The sequence below is a fragment of the Homo sapiens genome, chromosome X, assembly GCF_000001405.40.
Source record: "Homo sapiens chromosome X, GRCh38.p14 Primary Assembly".
NCBI lineage: Eukaryota > Metazoa > Chordata > Mammalia > Primates > Hominidae > Homo > Homo sapiens.
Window position 1 is genome coordinate 129,071,839 of NC_000023.11, and position 21,809 is coordinate 129,093,647.

General features: G+C 40.0%; 1 long non-coding RNA gene across 11 annotated transcripts in view, besides 4 other annotated features; it reads right to left on the bottom strand.

Moving 5' to 3' along the window:
* Positions 1-21,809, bottom strand: part of LOC124905213 (uncharacterized) — a 275,363-nt gene that overhangs the window by 160,769 nt on the left and 92,785 nt on the right. The window contains exon 4 of one of the 11 annotated variants that reach the window (XR_007068316.1): positions 1,069-1,128. The exons of the other annotated variants lie outside the window; for them this stretch is intronic. This is a non-coding gene — a long non-coding RNA (uncharacterized LOC124905213). The remainder of the gene's footprint in view (positions 1-1,068; positions 1,129-21,809) is intronic. 11 annotated transcript variants of the gene reach the window in all.
* Positions 14,215-15,021: an enhancer, noted in NCBI's record as "H3K27ac-H3K4me1 hESC enhancer chrX:128220030-128220836 (GRCh37/hg19 assembly coordinates)". NCBI's record gives its function as "activates a minimal SCP1, AML or CMV promoter by ChIP-STARR-seq in naive H9 embryonic stem cells {active_cell/tissue: H9 hESC(naive)}" and the evidence as "EXISTENCE:reporter gene assay evidence [ECO:0000049][PMID:30033119]".
* Positions 15,022-15,828: an enhancer, noted in NCBI's record as "H3K27ac-H3K4me1 hESC enhancer chrX:128220837-128221643 (GRCh37/hg19 assembly coordinates)". NCBI's record gives its function as "activates a minimal SCP1, AML or CMV promoter by ChIP-STARR-seq in naive H9 embryonic stem cells {active_cell/tissue: H9 hESC(naive)}" and the evidence as "EXISTENCE:reporter gene assay evidence [ECO:0000049][PMID:30033119]".
* Positions 18,379-19,351: an enhancer, noted in NCBI's record as "OCT4-NANOG-H3K27ac hESC enhancer chrX:128224194-128225166 (GRCh37/hg19 assembly coordinates)". NCBI's record gives its function as "activates a minimal SCP1, AML or CMV promoter by ChIP-STARR-seq in primed H9 embryonic stem cells {active_cell/tissue: H9 hESC(primed)}" and the evidence as "EXISTENCE:reporter gene assay evidence [ECO:0000049][PMID:30033119]".
* Positions 19,352-20,322: an enhancer, noted in NCBI's record as "OCT4-NANOG-H3K27ac hESC enhancer chrX:128225167-128226137 (GRCh37/hg19 assembly coordinates)". NCBI's record gives its function as "activates a minimal SCP1, AML or CMV promoter by ChIP-STARR-seq in naive and primed H9 embryonic stem cells {active_cell/tissue: H9 hESC(naive and primed)}" and the evidence as "EXISTENCE:reporter gene assay evidence [ECO:0000049][PMID:30033119]".

The following is a 21,809-nucleotide window of genomic DNA, read 5'->3' on the forward strand; positions in this document are numbered from 1 at the left end:
AGTGTGTGTGTGTGTGTGTGTGTGTGTGTGTGTGTGTGTGTGTGTGTGTGTGTGTAGCAGGAGAGCAATTGTCATAAATACTTTCACAAGTAGAGAGCCACTCACAGAGCTAAGCCCGCCTAAGTGAACGTATAGCTTTTTATGCCTTTAGTTCCAGTCCCCAGAGCAACTAAAAGACAAAGCGGTCACAGGTCCCCACCTGGTAGCCAGGAGAGCAAAACCTCAGTACAGCTCAGCACAATGATCTCTGCTTAACAGATTAGCTACAAATAATTCACCCACTGCTCCAAATTGCTAGGCTAGGCTGGAGTGGCAATTCTTGAGGAATAGAGGAATTAAATGACCAGGTTGGTCCATACCCACTTCCTTGGCCCTTCTCGTTTTCCCTGGGTCATTCAAATACCCACTCAGCAGGGGCAGACAACACAAAAAAGCTCCTGCATTGCCCCGCTCCTCTTGTTTAATTGTTAGATTCTAAAACCACTCACGACAGGATGCAGTGGCTCAAGCCTGAAATCCCAGCACTTTGGGAGGCCGAGGTGGGCAGATCACCTAAGGTCAGGAGTTTGAGACCAGCCTGGCTAACATGGCAAAACCCTGTCTCTAATAAAAAATAAATAAAACATCAGCCAGACGTGTTGGTGCACGCTTGTAGTCCCAGCTACTCGGGAGGCTGAGGCAGGAGAATTGCTTGAACCCGGGAGGTGGAGGTTGCAATGAGCAGAAATCATGCCACTGCACTCCATCCTGGGCGACAGAGCAAGACTCCGTCTCAAAAATAATATAAATAAATAAAAATAAAAAATAAAACCACTCAGAAAAGAAGCTATTAATGCTCTATCATAATCAGCTAACAGTCTCTGCAGTCACTGCATTTACCAATCAGGCTCAGCTCTGCACTCTTACTGTCATCTTCTTTTCCAGGTAGACTTTTCAACCACAGATTATTAGAGGGCCTACTATGTGCCAGCGATATATAGATGTATTTATCTACAGTGATACATGGGTAAGTAAGACATGGACCTTACCCTCAAAGAGTTTACAACTAAACAAAGAAGACATACGTACCTTACCATATCATGAGGCAAAATAGAAGCAGGGGCACAGTGATGTACAAGTGCCTGGAATCTGGAAAAATTAAGGCCAGGGGGAGTTATAATGAAAAATACTAGCTGATGTTTACTGAACATTTACCATGTGTCACACTCCACAATAAACCTTTCATATAAATCACTTCATTTAATCTTCCCAACCAAATATAATACGTAGCATCTTCCCCACTTCACAGCTAAAATGATAGACGTATAAAGAGATTAAATAATTTATCCCAAATTATACAGCTAAATGTTGGAATGGGGGTCTGCTATCATGTGAATATTTATGTTCCCCCAAAATTCATATGTTGAAATCTAATCCCTAAGGTGTTGACATTAAAAGATGGGGCCTTTGGGAGGTGATAAAGTTGTATGGATGGAGTTCTCATGACTGGGATTAGCACCTTTATAATAGAGGCCCATGGGAGCTTGTTTGCCCTTTTCCTACCACGTGATGACACAGAAAAAGGCACCATCTAAAAACCAGAAAACAGACACTGAACCTGTCAGCATCTTGGCCTTGGACTTTTCAATCTCCAGAACTGTGAGAAATAAATGTCTGTTCTTCATAAGTTACCCAGTGTGTGGTATTTTGCTATATTAACCTGAATGGACTAAGACAGGGTCTATCCCAGTCTTTCTTATTTCAGAACCAAAGGCAGAGTTCAGGGGAAGCTGAAATGAGGTACCACACTCTTATAAGGATGTGGAGATAACTGTATTAATTTAAGGGCTACTAACAGAATTTATTCATTCATTCTTTCAACATGACCCAAGTATTGTTTTAGAAATAGTGAAGAAAACAGATGAAATTCCCTGTCTTCACGAAGTTATATTGTAATGAAAGGTAAGTCCTTTTAGGGAGAAAACTGCATATATTGGGACAAATACTTTAATAAATGCTTGCAGCAGAAGGTAGTAAAGCCCCTCTGATGATGACCAGCAGGGACACCCCTGTAGTCTGACAAAGTTAAGTTTATTAACTTCCTAAAGCAAGGGAGACTGCACATCAGAGGAAGCATGGGGCAACTCGTGAAACAAATGAAGTGATAGGGATATTTGAGATTGGGAAGAAGAGGGGAGGTAAAATTTAAATGAAGCAGCATTTTGATAGTCTCAAGGTAGAACAGGGATATGCGTAAAGGCATCAGCATCAGGCCTTAGCTCAGAAGTAGACCCAGCCTAAGATACTTGAGAGCAAGGCTTTTTGGCTCTATGTTCATTTGTTAATTAACAAAAAGAATCTGAGTTTATTTTTACAGATTCAAAAAGGTCATCCCCCAACTCTAATGACCTTAGTGTTAAGTGGCAACAAGGCCACATAAAAGTAAGGAGGCTGCTCTATCAATGTAGAAGGAAAAGAATTTAGCATTCTCAGGGAAAGCTGAGAGGCAGGGGTGAGGAGCTGTGATGGGAAGGGCACAGTCAGAGTGAGATGCACGAAGCCTGGTGGCAAGGGGAGGGGTAATGTGACTGGGGAAAGTCTACTGAGCTCATGGATGGATTGCGAGTGAGAGCAGTAGTAGGAGTGAGAGAGAGAGAAAAAGAGAGAATGAACGAGAGAGAGAACCAGATGGAGAGACAAAGGCTATGTTTCATACAAATATAGTGTGGGACAGGGACAGCATGAGTGCCCGGGAAGTATTAGGCTCCTCTGGAAGTTAACAGAAGTTTTTGGAATGTGTTTGAACTTACACAGGCCATGAAATAATTTCACATCATAGATCACAAGAGCAGGAAAACTTCAAGCTAATTTAAAATATATACGACACAGGACAAGTCAAAGAAGTCTCACTTCAACCTACAAATAATAAATTTGCAGAACAAATTCCCTCAAGAAATAGACACCTGGATTCAAGTTCTACCTCTATTAGTCAACAACTGACAGATTCAGAAACAGGCAAACAGAAGTCACAATGACCATGGAATAAGCAGTTGAGACAAGCAAGATATTAAAAATGTAAGAAAGCCAAGCTGGTTAAGACAGCACTATTTCCATGTACGTACTTCTTCCTCAAGAAGCAGGTGGTTCCATGGGGCCCCTGTGGCCTCACTCTAAAGGTGAAGGTAGGACAATCAGTTACATCTGGCTAATGGAAATCAAGTGTCCACTGTTGTGTTATGCCGATAATGTAGAGAGTGAGCTAAGACTACAGGCAGGCGGGGCCACCCATGTGCAGTGAGACAAAGATAATTGTAAACTTAACTGTCTAAAATACAATTTAATATCTTGGCATCTTAAGAATACACAACTTTAGTATTATTGGCTGAGCCATTAAAAGTCACCATGTGAATCCAGAGTTATGGTCCTGAGCAAGGAATCACAACTGGAAAGGAGTCAGACTTCAAGACTTAGTGAGGCAAATCTGTCCTTTAGGGATATTTTATTTATCCCACACAGTGACTTAAAATGTTCTTAAGCTAACTTTCCACAAGTTAAAAAATGGGAGCCATCATGTTATTTAAAAAATCAAGTTACCTGCTTCTCTTGAAGAATCAGAAGATCTAACAAGATTTGGCCCATATTCCCATGTGACAAAAAGCAGCTGCAGTGGATGATAAGTGCATTCTCTGTTTCCCTGGAGTCCCTACCACTCCTGATTGTCTCATACCCAGCCAGTTTCACTGATTTCTATTACTTGGCAGACTCCTGGAGGCGTTTGTAATTCCTGACTAAAGTACCAACGTTCATAGCACTTTGCTGAAAAAAAGATGAATATATCCCATTTGTTCACTCATATTCTTAAAAAGTGGTTTGGGGGATTTTGTCCAGAATATAATATTACACTTTAGTAAGGTTCTTTTTTTCTAGGCTGTGCAAAGGGTCATGCTTCCCCTCACTCCAGATTTCCTTCTTCATTCACTGTATGGTCAGTGTGGTGTCTTCTGTTTGGTTATCAATATTTGTTTGTGAAGAAGGACAGTGTGACCTCTCGGGCAGGAGGACCCTTAGAGTGAAGAAAGCCGTTAGCAAATCAATCCTAAAGTGATTTATTTCCAAGCAATAGATAGCAAGGAGGCAGTGTATATATATCATTTGGACAAGGCCTTAATAAAGATAAATTCGGAGTTTGAGTTCCTCTAAGGAAGTGGCTTTAACTTCCGACATATGCCAAAATGCACTTCACAACTAATTAGGTGGTATTCACATATGCCTTGCAAGTGAGTATAGTTAGGCACTTGGATAAGAGTGATGCATTTGTCTACATTTAGATGTGCCATTGATGGTCTGAAAAATCAGGGGACTTTGAGACCATGGAGCAACAGCAAGAGTTAAATTCAAGGAGATTCTCAAAGCCAATAATTAATGCATGCTCATTAAAAAATCTATGTCAAGACTGTTTTGCTGCAGCACAGAGGGCAAATAAACATTGAATGTCAGTCTTACCTTCATGTGATTAATAAAATCATGATTGCAGAATTCCATTTTTATTGTCTCATATATACATTTGTAGGATCTCTGCAGTCATGCATACACACGCTTACAAGTTGGGGTAAAGGACTAGGGCTGACTCAATCGTCCAAATGATCTTAGCAACTAGTACTTTGAGCTCTCTGATTTGGAACTCAGGACCCAGACTAAAATAAGGCAAGCTAGGTGCCTAGGGCACAAAATTTAAGGAGGTGCTCACTTCCAGGGCATGCGTATGCAAGTTAGTGCCTCCTTAAATTTTGCTCCCTTGGGGCCTGCTTTGCCTCACCCTAGCTCTGTTGAGAATATTTTCATTCTTGAATTGTGATGCTAAAGTTCTCACTAAGGGAATAGGAAGGCCAAAAAATGTGGAATACCTACAAAATCAAGTGCAGACATGAGCAATAACAACTTACCGGACACACTGGGCAGATAATACCATAAACCCTTATATCTAGTCGACAGTAAGGAAAGAGAGGGGTCAGTATAAATTAATGGCATGTCTGAATATCCATTTCTCAATTCCAAAGCCTAGTAATGGAACTAAGGGCTAAAAAGAAACTGCCAAGTAAAGAGCCTACAGGTAAAAAGTGAAGGATCCCACTGTGAAGTTCTGTGGTTTGTGATTGGTGCATTAGTCGATTGTACCAGTGGGGCTAATAGAAACTAAAACTCATTTTTTCAACTAGGCTAAGAATCTGTAAAATCTTAATAATGTGATTAATTTGCTTGTGAAACCTTTTACATACAGAGTCCAAAAGGGAAACCTCAGCTCTGTCTCATTTACGACAAAGTCCAAGTACAAAATAGTTCCAGTTAGGAGTTCCATCACGCAGGCAGGTGTGAGGCAGGAGACCTCAGGTCTTCTTACTTTGCTTCATAAGACTTAGGCTAGATTACAAACTAGCCTCTGTTTTAAACCCTAACCCACTTTATCTTCTCTTCCTTCTTCCACCCTAATCTCCAAGGCCAACACATGACTACGTATGTTAGGACTGAGAAAAGAACAGGCTAAAATGGTGCCAACTTGAGTCATTATTATCCAGCTTTAATTGGTACCCAACTTGAGACTTTCCAGATAGAAGATCACTGAGTGTTTCCAGGTGGGGAAAAAAAAAAGCCACCTCGTCAACAAAATTGATAAAATTGGCTTATGAAGCTCTGTGGGCATAAAGTCACGCTTGTTAAGCAGAGAAGCTCTCTGGTAATGAATTCCAAACATAGGGATTAGCATTTCCTTTGAAATAGTTACAGCACATGGGAAAAAAAGTCCTCAATAAAATGTGGTTTCCATTTCCTGAATTTCACTTAGCTCAGCTCTCTGGCTGGTGTTCCCTTAGTTTGGCTGGGCTATGTAGGAGTGGAGTTTTCAACACACAATTTTCAAATGGGTAATTGCACTAAGCATAGTCCAGAAACTAACATAAGTAGTGTTGCCCTTCAAAAGCTTATGTTCAACATTCTAAATTAGTTGAAGCCACTCATCAATTATTCAAATATTTATTAACCATATCTAAGTGTGCATGCTCTATTCTTAGTGCTGTAGGGAGGCAGGGTGAGAGTGACAGATCCAGGTTCTGCTATGGGAGTTAACTGTCTAGTAAGGAGGTTAAGTTATGCACATGAATAGCTAATATGAAGTAGAAAAAATTACATTCCACAAGAGAGAAACAGACAGTGGGCTGGAACACTCAAAGTGTATTCTTCAGACCAGTGCATAAGTATCACTTCAGAGCTCATTAGAAATGGAGAATCTCAATTCCCAATGCTGACTGACTGATTCAGCCTCTGCAGTTTAACAAGATCTACGGGTGATTCTTGTACACATTAGTTTCAGAAGCCCTCAACTAAAATAGATCAGAGGAAGGAGAAATTGCTTCCAGCTGAGGGGCTCAGAAAAGCCTAAAGAAGGAAGATGGCATGTGAGCCAGATTTCAAAGTGTCATAAACTTGGTTGACCACCAAAATTTTTTCTCTGCTTCTTCCATACATATAGCTAGACTACATTTCCTAGCTCCCCCCTTCACAGTTATGTATGAATGTGCCCACTTCCAGACCCAGACCCTAAGAGAGTGTACATGTCTTATTCACCCTTTCCTTTTCCTCTAGCTGGAACGTGAATGAGGTGGGCCACTCTTCATCATTCAGATTAGGATGACACTCTAGGGGATGGTAGAGCAATAACTTTTTGACCTGACAACTTATAAGGAGGCTATGATCCTGAATGACCACACAAAGCAGAGTCATTGCATTCTGAAACACAACAGAGCTGTTACACGAGAGAAAAAAAAATGAAGTTCTGAATTTTTAAGCCACTCTACTCTATGGTCTCTTTTTTATAAGGGCCTATGGTTACTGTAACAAATGCAGACATATAAAATGTCCATACAGAGAGATGGTGAGAAAGGTGTTGCTCATTAAGGGAGCAGCATATGTAGACACAGGTATGTGCCAATGCTTATGGAGCATTCGAGGAATCACAATCATTTGACTGAAACATATGGTATATGAAGTTGTAAAAGCAAATAGAATTAGAAAGGTAAGTTGAAAATTAGATTATGGGTGATGTGGCACTCCAGGCCACTGGTGACAGGGAGCTACTGAAGATCTAACATGGGAATGACACAATGTTTGGGGGAAAACATTCTGGCAATAGTGTGTGTAATGTGTTGAAGTGGGGAGAGAAGAGGTGTAGAAAGTCCAGTTAAGCTTTTGCGATAGTCCAGCTGAAGAATGGCAAGAAGAACCTCAATGAGGTGATTCTGGTAGAAATATAGGGATAAAAGTGTTCATATTTTCAATTTAGGTACTTCTCCAATAAAATCTAATAAGGAGCTTTGAGCTTTCAGAGGCAGAACCAACAACCGGGTATCTATTGTAGACTATAATTAGTTACTCCAATTCCACAGAAATACAGTAAGCCACCACAGATCTTTGAACGTAGACGTAGGCAACAAAAGAAAAAATATATACGAATATGGGAAAACTTTCATAACCAGAAAAAGCTAATTATTATGTGGCAATGTATCAAATATATTTCTCTTCATTTATATTTCTAGAAGTTAAACTAAAAGTGACTTTTTTGTGAAATATTATCTTCCAGAGCTCCTCTCACTTCTAAGCTAAAGTTTTCTCTTTGACTAATTGTCTACAGTAAACACCTAACATCTGACCTTAGTTTCTTTACCTCAGACTCTATTATAACCCTAGAGGCAATCATTTCAATACACTCTTCATTAGAGCCAGAGTTAGAGTTGTTAACATTTTAAATTTAAAAATACTTGTGTAATTTTGCTTTTACGAAAATGTATATATTTATGTATGGGGTATGCCCTAAAGCATGGCTCAGCCATACTAGAAAATAAGTAAGCTTCATGATAAAGCTGGTACTGGTTACAACTCCAGGATTGTAATGGGATCCAAATGAAGCACTCCTGAGGGTGTGAGCACACAAATATTGAACTTGAAAATTACAGGCTTTCAAGAGTGTAGAGAGTGTACTAATGAAGTTGATTGAAATCAATTACCCTTCTGAAAATTGGGAGGTATTCAGAGAACAATTAGGAAGACTCCAATCCATATTCATTAATATAGAGTGGGTCCCCAAATGACAGAGATAGCTGCTGTGATTAACAAAGAGGTTTTAAAAAAAGACAGCCTCATAAAAGAAATAGACGTGGGAAAGACTTCCAGTGCACAATGGACAGTAACATACTTATATTAGAAAGAAGTTGCAATCTAATTCACGATTAAATGTATTTCTTAGTAATAGAAGTAGAATGAGGGAATTCAATTCAAGTGTGCTACACAACACACAGAGAAAATGAAGAAGACTTTTTTTGCTCCCACCCATGGCCTATTTGATAACTTGGTATTTGTCTTGGTCCATTCAAGCTGCTATAACAAAATACCATAGACTCAGTGGCTTATAAATAACAGAAATTTATTTCTCACAATTCTGGAGGCTGAGGAGTACAGGATCAAGGCAGACTTTGCATCTGGTGAGGGCCCACTTTCTGGCTCATAGATGGTGCCTCTTATTATATTCTCACATAGTAGAAGACACAAGGCAGCTCTCTGGGGTCTCTTTTGTTTAGGCATGAAACTTACTCATGAGGGCTCTGCCTTCATGACTTAAACACCTCCCGAAGCCCCCACTTTCTAATACCACTACATTGGAAGTTAGTGTTTCAACTTATGAATTCTAAGGGGGAACACAAACATTCAGACCATAGTAATAATATAACATGTAATAAGTCAGGGCCTAAACATAGGAGAGGAAGAAGGCAGCTGCCTGTCAGGAGATCCCTAGCCAGAAAGCTCTCCCCTGCTGGGCTGCGTTGTACAAACAGTCTCAGAATTCATCTTAGCCCTTAAGAAATGAATTCAGGTTCTAATCAAAGGCCTACCACCTATTTGCTGAGGTTTCTTGAGGGAATCATCAACCTTTCTGTAAAACGTTGATGACAATACTTTATTCTGTAAAATGTTGATGATAATACTTTGTTCTACCAACCTCACAAAGTTGTTTATAATCAAATATGACTGCATATGTGAAAGGTGATCATTCCTGCAGAATATAATGAATTTTTATTGTTTTACTCCCTTGTTCACAGTGACAGCTTACTATGTTCAAGGCACAGTGCAAAGCATTTTATCTTCATTAATGATTTACTCTTCACAACTACTCTATGGAAATGGGTTCTATTATTATCCCATTGTACAGGTAAGTAAACTGAGTCTCACAGAGTTTAACATGCCCATGGTCACACAGCTAGTAAATGGCAAAGCCACAATATGAGGCCAAGCAGTTTGATTTCAGAGCCCATATTCTATACCACTGCACTCTACTGACTCCTGACATTAATATCTGACATGTTAATATCTGCAATTTACAGGTTACAGTATACTTTCATATACGTACTCATTCGATCAGTACCCCAATCCTGTGAGGTAGGGAAATTATCTCCAGTTGCTTGGAGAGGAAACCAGATTCAGAGGGAATTACTTAACCAAGGCTGAACAGCTAGTGTTAAGTGTTATTCCCAATATGCAAAAGCTGCTTTACCAATTTGTACTGTTTTCCTAAGTACATGGGGATCAGTAAATGTTCTCTTGGTTAGCTGGCATAAGAATTCTATTCTCTGGGGAAAATATATGTTTATGTGTGTGTATATATACACATATATACACATACACGTGTATAGTTTTTTTATTAATAGGAGACAAGGTATACAAATTTATTTAATATGTGTACACAAGAACTTTCAGAATGAAGACCCAACTTCCTAGTAAGGTACAGAAGCTTATATACTATAAATGCCCAACAGGTTCTTCCTGCCCACTGCAGAAACAAAACCAATTCACTGAGATTATGGCACTGCAGTAAAGAAAGAGTTAATTAATACAGGCTAGCCATGTGGAAGATGGAGTTATTACTCAAATCAGTCTCTTTGAAGACTCAGAGGTTAGGGTTCTTCAAGGATACTTTGGTAGATAGGGGACTAGGGAATGGGTACTGCTGACTGGTTGCAGATGCAATCATAGGGGTGTAGAAAATGGTCTTCACATTCTTTTACAGAAATGAATGCACTGAGTCAGCCTCTGGGTTGAGGGGGCTGAGCACAGGACAAGCTGAGTCATGAGTCACAACTCCCAGTGGAGTCAGTCAGTTACCAGAATGCAAATATTTGAAACACATCTCAAAAGACCAATCTTAGCTCTACAATAGTTATGTTATCTATAGGAGCAATTGGGGACATCACAAATCATGTGACATCTGGCAACATGACCCTTGAGCAGTAAGGCATTATAAAAACTATGCCTACATTTTAGCATAATTCCGGCCCCTCCCATAATCCTAATCTTGTGGCCTTTCATTAGTCAAAGGCAGTTTAAGCCCCTGAACAAGAAGGCAAACAGTTTTAAGAATAGACTGTTATCATCCTTGCTTGGAAGTTAAACTATAAGCTCCTCCCATGGTTAGCTTGGCCTACACCCAGGAATGAGTGAGCATAGCCGGCCTGTGAGGCTAGAAGCAAGATGGAGTCAGCCATGCTAGATTTCCCTCACTGTCAATAATCTTTGCAAAGGTGGATGCAATACCACTTCAAGGTTATAGAAAGAATGGGGGTTTGAATCCTGGTAAAACAGATTATGGGATGGGGGAGAAGAGGAATTCTGTTGAGGGGATTACCAAGGAGAATGAATGGATATGGGAACTTGTAAATACTTCTCTTTGGAATTTAAATGATCTTTGGAGATAGACATTATACTTGTAAAAGTGTCTGTTCAGGTGTAGTCACATGTTGGTCTTCTTTTCTGCAATAGATAAAGAGATAACAGGAAATGGAAGAAAAAAAAACAATTGTTCTCCTTGGTGGGTCTGGATCTTAGGCAGATAAAGGAATTTCAGCTTCTTTGGGAGAGACAGTCGGGGAAGAGGGAAGGTCAGAGAGAGCTTCAACCTTCTTCATCTCAGAGTGTGTGTGTGTGTGTATATATATATGTGTGTGTGTGTTTATATATATATGTTTATATATATACGTTTCTATATATATGTTTCTATACATATATATGTTTATATATATATACACACACACACACACACACATATTAATCTGATAAAGATCCATGGAATTTAGAAATAGCATGGCTCCTGAGGTGTAAGAGCACAAGACAACCATAGCTAAAGATTAAAGCCTAGGTCAAGTTCTAGTGAGGTGCCAGGATGGGGGCTCTAAGCATCCAAATGCATTTGCTAACTGACAATCCTAGAAACAGGTTGAAGATCTAAGCCATTTTTGATAAACTGTACCTCATAAGCCCTTCAAAGGTAAATCTATTGACAAGTATGATTCATTAGTATACTAAGCACAGCTTACAAAAGAACTCATCTGTGGAGCTTTTAACTGCAAAGAGTAATTTGTTTGAATGCAGAATTCAGTATCAGTCAATGAATGAAGGTCAGGATTAGGTGACTTCTCTTTAGCAGATTTCAAGTCAACCCTGAAACTCAGCCATCAGTGCATTTCCCATCGCCACCCCCACTTTCTCTCAAAGGCAAATGAAGTACACATATAAGGCTGAGAAATAAGAGACTCTTGCTTGTGGTATGCTTTCACTCTCTTCCTGGCTCTCTGCTCTCTAGACACCCAGTGACCTCATGCTGCCTCCCATTGCTGTGTACCATCTGGTGATGCCCTCACTGCAGTATCTCATGTCTCTCACCTACACTTATCTATTCGAGTAACCTACGTGACCCCTTTCCTTCGGATATCATGTGGGATTACAAGTGGCTCTGAGAAATTAATTAGTACTAATTTGTTAATGGCCGAAAATAAATTTTGTTGTTTAGACCCACACCTATCCCACTCTAGGTAATAGAAGGCAGCGGGTACAGCAAATTAAAGCTGGCCTAAAAATCCACCAGACTGAAAGACACGACAACAGAATCCTAGCTCAACTTTTCTACAACTGGGCTGTGGGATTTATTCTCTTTGGGTGTCACTTTCTTAACCGTAATCAGAATTCGTTTGTGGATTACCAGTACTCTCCTGCATGCCTCCACAGTCTATCCCTGCCTACCCCAAAGTGAAGAGGACTTATTTTGGAATTCGGTAGGTTTTTCTACAAAACAGGACTGACTCTACTTGTGTTTATACACAGCTCATTGCTCTCCAGAAGAGGCCCTCTCCTTTCCTTAATTGAATCTGACTCTATATTTTGAAGAATGGATGAAAAGAGAATGTTAGAAGCATTCTTAGAGTATTTTAACTTAAGGTTCAATCTTACAGAGTTGTAAATGCCAAGATAAGACTTTGGAACTTGATTCTCCAGGACAACAGGGAATCATGGAAGTTTTCTGAGCAAAGGAGTGACAAACAAGGTTGTGTTGTGTTTGTAATACTAAATAGTTAAATTATCACTCTGTGGAAAAAAATCAAAATATTTCTTTGCCATATTTTGACATGGTTGTTCAAAGGACCTGCAAACAGAAGTAGCCCTGCAAAGCTTTCTTTTGTGTGGAAGATTTGTACCTGTAGAGAATCTGCATTGATGAAGCCAGGTTTTCTCTGAGGCCTTCCCTTGTCCAGATCTAGGAATGATTAACTGAAAGTGTGACACCCTTAAAGGCCCGAAAGAAATATTTACCATCGTCAGATGAGTAGGTTGCGAAAATTTTCTCCCATTCTGTAGGTTGTCTGTTCACTCTGATGGTAGTTTCTTTTGCTGTGCACAAGCTCTTCAGTTTAATTAAATCCCATTTGTCAATTTTGGCTTTTGTTGCCATTGCTTTTGGTGTTTCAGACATGAAGTCCTTGCCCATGCCTATGTCCTGAATGGTATTGCCTAGGTTTTCTTCTAGGGTTTTTATGGTTTTAGGTCTAACGTTTAAGTCTTTAATCCATCTTGAATTAATTTTTGTATAAGGTGTAAGGAAGGGATCCAGTTTCAGCTTTCTACATATGGCTAGCCAGTTTTCCCAGCACTGTTTATTAAATAGGGAATCCTTTCCCCATTGCTTGTTTTTCTCAGGTTTGTCAAAGATCAGATAGTTGTAGATATGCGGCATTATTTCTGAGGGCTCTGTTCTGTTCCATTGATCTATATCTCTGTTTTGGTACCAGTACCATGCTGTTTTGGTTACTAATATCCAGAATCTACAATGAACTTAAGCAAATTTACAAGAAAAAAACAAACAACCCCATCAAAAAGTGGGCAAAGGACATGAACAGACACTTCTCAAAAGAAGACATTTATGCAGCCAAAAAACACATGAAAAAATGCTCATCATCACTGGCCATCAGAGAAATGCAAATCAAAACCACAATGAGATACCATCTCACACCAGTTAGAATGGCAATCATTAAAAAGTCAGGAAACAACAGGTGCTGGAGAGGATGTGGAGAAATAGGAACACTTTTACACTGTTGGTGGGACTGTAAACTAGTTCAAGCATTGTGGAAGTCAGTGTGGCGATTCCTCAGGGATCTAGAACTAGAAATACCATTTGACCCAGCCATCCCATTACTGGGTATATACCCAAAGGACTATAAATCATGCTGCTATAAAGACACATGCACATGTATGTTTATTGCGGCACTATTCACAATAGCAAAGTCTTGGAACCAACCCAAATGTCCAATAATGATAGACTGGATTAAGAAAATGTGGCACATATACACCATGGAATACTATGCAGCCATAAAAAATGATGAGTTCATGTCCTTTGTAGGGACATGGATGAAATTGGAAATCATCATTCTCCGTAAACTATCACAAGAACAAAAAACCAAACACCGCATATTCTCACTCATAGGTGGGAATTGAACAATGAGAACACATGGACACAGGAAGGGGAACATCACACTCTGGGGACTGTTGTGGGGTGGGGGGACGGGGGAGGGATAGCTTTGGGAGATATACCTAATGCTAGATGATGAGTTAGTGGGTGCAGCACACCAGCATGGCACATGTATACATATGTAACTAACCTGCACAATGTGCACATGTACCCTAAAACTTAAAGTATAATAAAAAAAAAAAAAAGAAATATTTACCATCTATTCTTTCTGAGGGCTGCTACCTGTGAGGTTTCATCTACATAACAAGACCACCTTGCTAGCCAGGACTCCTCTTCTCCCACTCCCATAATCGATTTTGCCACAAGCTAAGCCCCCATTGTTTCTTTAACCTCAAGATGATATATAATCTTCTGTGCCCCATTGGGGTGTTGGGGTTATCACTCTGTGGTTCTTCCCCATGTGAATAAGTTTGTGTGCTGGAGAGAGAAATCAGCAAGATGATCCACTAGAGACACCAGGTGCTTGTCCCTCACCCCCCACAAGAAAGGACCAAGGCAATGAAAAAACAAATAATATTTAACTGGAGTGTCAAAAGAAGAGTGCTGCAGTGCAGATGCACCTTTGTTGACTAGAAATCCAGAAGAGCAGCATGGAAGCACCCAGCCTCTACAGCCCCTTCTTCCTCACCTGGATCAGATCTGCCTGGAGCCAGAAGGGACTTCCCATCATGGGGCAAAGGCAAGCAGAAGAACCCCACCAGCCTCCATTGCCTCACAAAAACCTATAGTCCTTACTACAGGAAAATCCCACAGATTTTTCACACCTACCCCCTGTGAACTTGAGACTAGACCCGCTGCTAAAGTCTACTGTACCTCCCCAACACTAGGGCTCCATCTTCATTCCACTAAGCCCACACTGGTAGCTGAACACTACAACCCCAGCTGTGCAGAGCTTGGACCCAGGATCAGCTATGACCTTGCTCCTGCACAACAGGGAAACCAACTCCCACCATAGACACTTCCAGCCAGAGGAACAGTCTGGCATTCCCACCCAGTGCAAACCCACCCTTGAGCCAGCCAAACTGCTGCATTCCCTCCCTCATGCAGGAAAGGCCCTCAAGCCTCTGAACAGCTGACGCACTCCCAGAAGGTGGAGTAGCTATAGACCCACTCCCAAGGCCTGAGAAACAGACCCACCCCTTACAGACAAGCCCCTGGCCTGACCAATAGCCATGCAGACCCTAATCAGGGCCTGAGAAAAGCTCCAGGGCCACCACTAGCAGATATACCCCCGTCCAATCAGCAGAGTGCCCATGCCTTGGGACTGAGAAACAGCCCCGCGGGCCACCCTGGTGGGCAAGCCTCCAGGCCAGCCGAGCAGCCTTGTACTCGCATCCCGGACCTAAGAAGCAGCCCTACGGCCACCCCTAGCAGACATTTACCCATGCCAGCTGAGAAGCCATGGGACTGTATCCTGGGTCTGAGAAATATCCCTGTGGGCTGTCCCTGGCAGACACACCCCAGGTCAGCTGAGCAGCTGTGCACCTGCATGCCAGGCCTGAGAAACAGCCCCATGAGCCACCCCAGCAGACACATACCCAGGCCAGGTGAGAAGCCATACAACCACATCCCAGGCCTGAGAAATAGCCCCGTTTCCTGGCAGGCAAACCCCCAGGCCAGCCAAGCAACTGCGTGAGCGTGCTCCCAGCCAGAGTGTAACAGCCCTCATAGAACCAACCCAAGCCCCAAGTTGGTTGACTCACCATGGCACACACTCTCCCCCAACCTGAGAAATGCCTTGCAAGTCTACCCCCAGCAAAGCCACAGCACCACAACCACAAACTCTTCACTGTCTAGGCCCTGAGACACTCAAAATGTCACTAGCATGGATTACACATGGAATATTCTCCAGGATTGATCATGTGTTAGAACACAAAACAAGTCTCAACAAAAAAAAAAATTAAAAGTGGAAATCCTATCAAGTATCTTACCTGGTCAAAATGGAATGAAACTAGAAATCAATAACAAGAGGAACATTTTAAACTATACAAATGCATGGATATTAAACAACATGCTCCAGAATGACCAATGGGTGAAGGAAGGAATTAAAAATGAAATTTAAAAATTCCTTGAAACAAATGAAAATAGAAACAAAACACACCAAAATCTATAGGGCACAGCAAGAGCAGTACTGAGAGGCAAACTTACAGGATGAATAAGTTTTAGGGAACTAATAAAAAAGTGAATACTTGACAGATCCTTACATAAAAAAAGAAAACATGAAAGATTTCAAATAAATAACTTAATGATGGCCGGGCACGGTGGCTCACGCCTGTAACCCAGCACTTTGGGAGGCCGAGATGGGCAGATCACGAGGTCAGGATATCGATACCATCCTGGCTAACACGGTAAAACCCCGTCTCTACTAAAAATTCAAAAAATTAGCCAGGCGTGGTGGTGGGCGCCTGTAGTCCCAGCTACTCGGGAGGCCGAGGCAGGAGAATGGCATGAACCTGGGAGGCGGAGCTTGCAGTGAGCCGAGATCGCACCACTGCACTCCAGCCTGGGCAACAGAGTGAGACTCCGTCTCAATAAAAATAAAAATAAAAATAAAAATAAAAATAATAACTTAATGATATATCTCAAGTAATTAGAAAAGGAAGGACAAACCAAACCAACCCCAAATTAGTAGAAAGAAAGAAATAATAAATCACAGAGCAGAAATAAATGGAATTGATACTAAAAAAAGTTTTAAAAGATCAATAAAACAAAAAGTTGTTTTTCTTAAAATATAAAATTAACAAACCATTAGCTAGACCAAGTAAAAGTCATAGAAGTCCCAAACAAAATCAGAAGCACGGAGATGTCACAGTGGATCCCACAGAAATACAAAGGATCATTAGAAACTATTATAATCAACTATACATCACTAGATTTGAAAACCTAAATGAAATGGACACATTTCTGGACACATACAACCTAACAAAATGGAACAAAGAAGATGTAGGACATATGAACAGACCTATAACAAGTAACAAGATTGAATCATTAGTAAAAAATCTCCCAACAAAGAAAAGTTCAGGACTGGATGTCTTCACTGCTGAATTCTACCAAGTCTTTAAGGAAAAATTAATACCAATTCTTCTCAAATTATTCCAAAAAACTAAAGTGGAGAAAATTCTTCCTAAGTCATTTTGCAAAGCCAGCATAATCCCGATACCAAAACCAGGCAAGGACAAAACGTAAAAAATAACTACAGGCCAGTATTCCTGATCATAGATGCAAAAATCCTCAACAACATGCTAGCATACTGAATCCAACAACACATCAGAAAGATAATACAGCACGATAAAGTGGGATTTATCCCAGAAATGCAAGGATGTTTCAGCATATGCAAAGCAAAAAACATGATACATTGCATCAACAGAATAAAGAATAAAAACCATATGATCATCTCAAAAGAAGCAGAAAAAGCATTTGATAAAGTTCAGCATCCCTTCATGATAAAAACTCACAATAAATTAGGTATCGAAGGAAAAGCACTTCAACACAATAAAGGCCATATATGACAAACCCAAGCTAACATCCTACTGAATGGAGAATAGCTAAAAGCTTTTCCTCTAAGAACTGGAACAAGACAAGGATGCCCACTTGCTCCACTCCTATTCGACATAGTACTAGAAGTCCTGGTCGAGAAATTAGGCAAGAGAAATAAATAAAGGGCATCTAAGGCATCCAAATTGGAAAGAAAGAAGTCAAATTGTCCCTGTTTGTGGATGACATGATCTTATACATAGAAAAACCAAAAGACTCTAACAAAAATCTCTTAGAACTGATAAATGAATTCAGAAAAGCTGCAGAATACAAAATCAACATACAAAAATCAGTAGCATTTATATACACAAACAACAAACTAGCTGAAAAAGAAATCAAGAAGGCAAGCCAATTTACCATAGCTACAAAAATGTTTATTGCAGCACTGTCCACAATAGCCAAGACATAGAATCAACCTAGGTGTTGAACAATAGATAAATGGATAGAGAAAATGTGGTATATATACACAATTGAATACTATTCAGCCATAAAAAGAATGAAATCCTGTCATTCACAGCACCACGGATGGAACTGAAGGACATTATGTTGAGTGAAATAAACCAGGAACAGAAAGTTAATCACCATGTGCTCTTACTCATAAGTGGAAGCTAAAAAAAAGGTTGGTCTCACAGAAGTAAGAAGTAAAACAGAGGATACTAGAGTCTGGGAAGGGTGGAGGAGAGAGATTTGTTAAAAGACAAAACTACAGCTAGATAGGGGGAATAAGTTTTAGTGTACTACTGCACTGTGGAATTACTATAGTTAATGATATATAGTTTCAAATACCTAAAAGGAGGACATTGGATATTACCAAGACAAATAATAAATGTTTTGGCTCAACTGGCCAAGAAGATGGATATCTAAATAGTATTGCCCCCGCTTATGGCATTTGCAGCTTCTCTTTTGTCATTTCTTCTCCTAGACCTCACTCCTGGCTCATATATCCCATCTTCAGCAACTTCTGAACAGACTACTGGCAACTGTATGTAGCTTGTTTCCTGATGTTTTGCCTTTCTTTAGAAAGATAGTGATTACTCCTGGGACTAAGTAAAAGAGGGATATAAGGGTCCTAGAGCTGCCTCACCTGTTCAGGGCATCCAGACTCTTAAAGCATAAGAGACGCCTCTTAAACCTCAGCTAAGCACAACCCCCGCAGGGTAGAGAAATAACCAGAAAAGAAGTGTGTGTGCACATGCTAGAAAGAGGATGAGGGGGGTGGGGGCAACATCGAAACAATCATCTCATTCATCAAAGAGAGAGCAGAGACCTGACGCAGTGATACAGAAAAGACTCTATGGCTGTTATGACTTACCTGAGTGGCTGGATCTTATACACTCTTTGGACTCCAGTAGAGTTATGTAAAATTTCCCTTTTACTGTTGTAAATTCAAAAACCTTTTATGACCTTTTACTATTTGCCAAGCAGGCACTGAGAGAGACATGAGACCACAGAGGTGAAGAAAACACAATCCCCCATAACCCCACTTTATGCCTATACCCTACCTTATACATATCTCTATTATTTGACCCACCACTTCCTCCCAAATGAAAAGAGGAGAATCCTTGTATCTCCAGTGCCTATTACAATGTCTGGAGCATTGTAGAAACTCAATACAGGAGGCAAACAAGAACAATTATGAATAAAGTGAATTCTATTTTTTCACTGACTCCAGAGACTGATGTATTTTCCTAATGGATCTTCAATGATCGCTAATTGCAAACACTTTAGTTTTTAGTCCTCTCAATCAATGCTCTATGATATGTTAACAAAGCATAAAAGAACTAGGGAAGCACCTTCAGATTTAAGGAACCCCTTTGTACTCTAAATATAACCACCCCAATAATGTAGTTGATATTTTAGGTGAGTTTGATATGCCTGGGCTTCTTAAGCAGGACCACCTACCTGCAGCAGCAATTTCTTTCAGCTCCTCTCCCAGAAAGCAAGCTCCCTGATTTAAATATAACCCCAGGGGAAAAAATGTTCCTTCCCAGCAATTGTTGAGTGAACCCACAGCTGCTGCCTATTGTTAGGCACCAGCTCAAGCAATCAGGCTTTCTTTGTATTAGCTGAAAAACAAGGAAATCGCACATCCACGCCTAACTGCCTCACACCTGTGCTTGCAAAAGTGGCAGAAGCACTGAGCATCTTGTGACTAATCTGGAAAATTGTCTACTTCAAGCAAAGTGACTTTCAGTGTTTCAGGTAAGCTTCTAACCTCTTTTCCAGCTACATGTGTGATTTGGAATGCACATATTTGTTCCTTCTTCCTGGTAATCTTTCAACTCTAAGCTCTGCCAGGTACAGGACTTTCAGATCATGGCTTTATGCTGAGATCCAAGGAACAGATTACAATGGTCAGTCTGAAAATTAGCACATAGGACCTCTCTAAGTGCAGAAAGACCGCTAGAGAGAAACTGAAACTCAACTCATTGCCAGACTCTGATTTTCAAGTAATAATAGCAACAATTTATTATTTGCTTACTATATGCCAGGCACTGTTTTAAAGCCATTATCCTGTTTTTCACAGGTAAGGGAACTGTGGCACATATATGCTAAGTAACCTGTGCAAGATTGCGCAGCTAACAGATGTGAACTCAATTAACTCTATGTGGTTTTTCAAATTAATTTATTCATTAACTCACTCCCCTTAACACAATTCAAAATACTTATGTTAAACAAATTATTATAATTTGTTGATTTCAAATCAAGAGCCTTTTAATCACTATCATTTTTTTTTAATCTTCATCATAGCACTTACAGTTGGCTCTGCTCCCTAGGCATGGCCAATGGCCAAGAATCATTCCAAGTCTCTGCTCCTGCTCTTCTCTCAACCCCATCTCTACCTATCAAAATCCTAGACACCTTCAAGGTCCATATCAAACATTCTCTTCTTTCTGAAACTTTCCTAGTCATCTAGCTAGATACAATCTCTTATCCCTCATATTTCTCTGTTGGGAAACTGTTATGGTCTAGCTTTTAGTAGATATTAGGGTAATTATTTTATCCTCACCTTCTACTCAACCATAAGTTCCCTAGGGGCAGAAATTAAGACACACTCCTCTTTGGATCATCTGCAGGGCCTAACATAGTGTCTTGCAAATAGTGGATGCAGAATATATGTTTACTGAATTTTCAGTTGAGAACTCTGTGTACACGTTGCCAAGAAACAAAGAACAGCGAGAGATGGTGAAAAAAAATGTAAAGAGGAAGAGAGGTTAGAATTGTAAAGAGCTTAAGAAATCAGCCAGAAGGAAATATGTACAAGTACCCTTGCATGGCAAGGGAAGCTAGGAAGAGTGTGGAAGCTAGGAACCATGTGAAAATCTATTTGATCAGAAAAACTGTTAGTGTTTTACAAAATGAAGCTACTCCTCTCCTATCTTGGAAGACAGAGTCAATAATGTTCAGTCTTCCAAAATTATATACTTCTCCCAAATTTCTGCTAAAATAATTTGACACTAATCCAGCTGACCATTTACTATACAGCATTAGATATTTAAGCTTTCTGTATAGATCTGACTCTTCTCTTGCTATTAGTTGAATCTTCTTGACCTTATGTTCTGCCATTTACCACCAATCTAAATTATTTTATTATGTTAACTATCATGCTGGATTCCCATTGTTCTCTTGACCCTGTGATAGGAATATTACCAGCTATATGCTGTCCTCTTTATGAACTTGTGGTTTTCCTCCTGGCATGTTCTCATGCCACATGGTTCCTACCCCATTTCCTATAGCTGGGTTCAGCCCAAATTCTCAATCAGTATGGCTTCCATATGCCAGCTCATGAATTAGTGTCAGTCTGTGATGGAGTTTACTCCTGCTGGGGATGAAATTTAATTATATTTTTGTAATTTTTCTGTTTGTCTATTTCTCTTAATTTATATTTATCTTTTTTTACAGAGACTAAATTAGTCTTATAATTCAATATATTCAACTGAAAGGGTTGTTTTTATATTAATACTCTGGCCTTTCTGCTTGTATTTAAATTCACTTTTATGGTATAACAGTGATAATTAGTTGTTGGTAGTTGTGTGTGTGTGTATGTGTGTTCTTATGTGTCAAAATAAAATGCTGGCAATCTAATATTAGTTTTCCAGGTATTTATCTACATTTATCTATTTAAACACACACAAACACTTTCTTCTCTTTTTTTAACTGACCTGGGAACCTCTGCTCAGAAGGATGCTGATAACCTTAATGAGTGCATGCAAGGATTAGAGCAAACCAATTCCAATTAATGGTCTTATTCTGCTGGTGGTGGGCTGCCATTTTCTTCAAGTATAAAAGCCAGTAGGTTTTATTTAGTTCAGTTGCACAATGGTGTGAATTTCTTCCAAGAGTCTACCTAAGGAAAATCTATGTATTTATTAAGGTAAGAAGTCTATTAAGCCACACCATT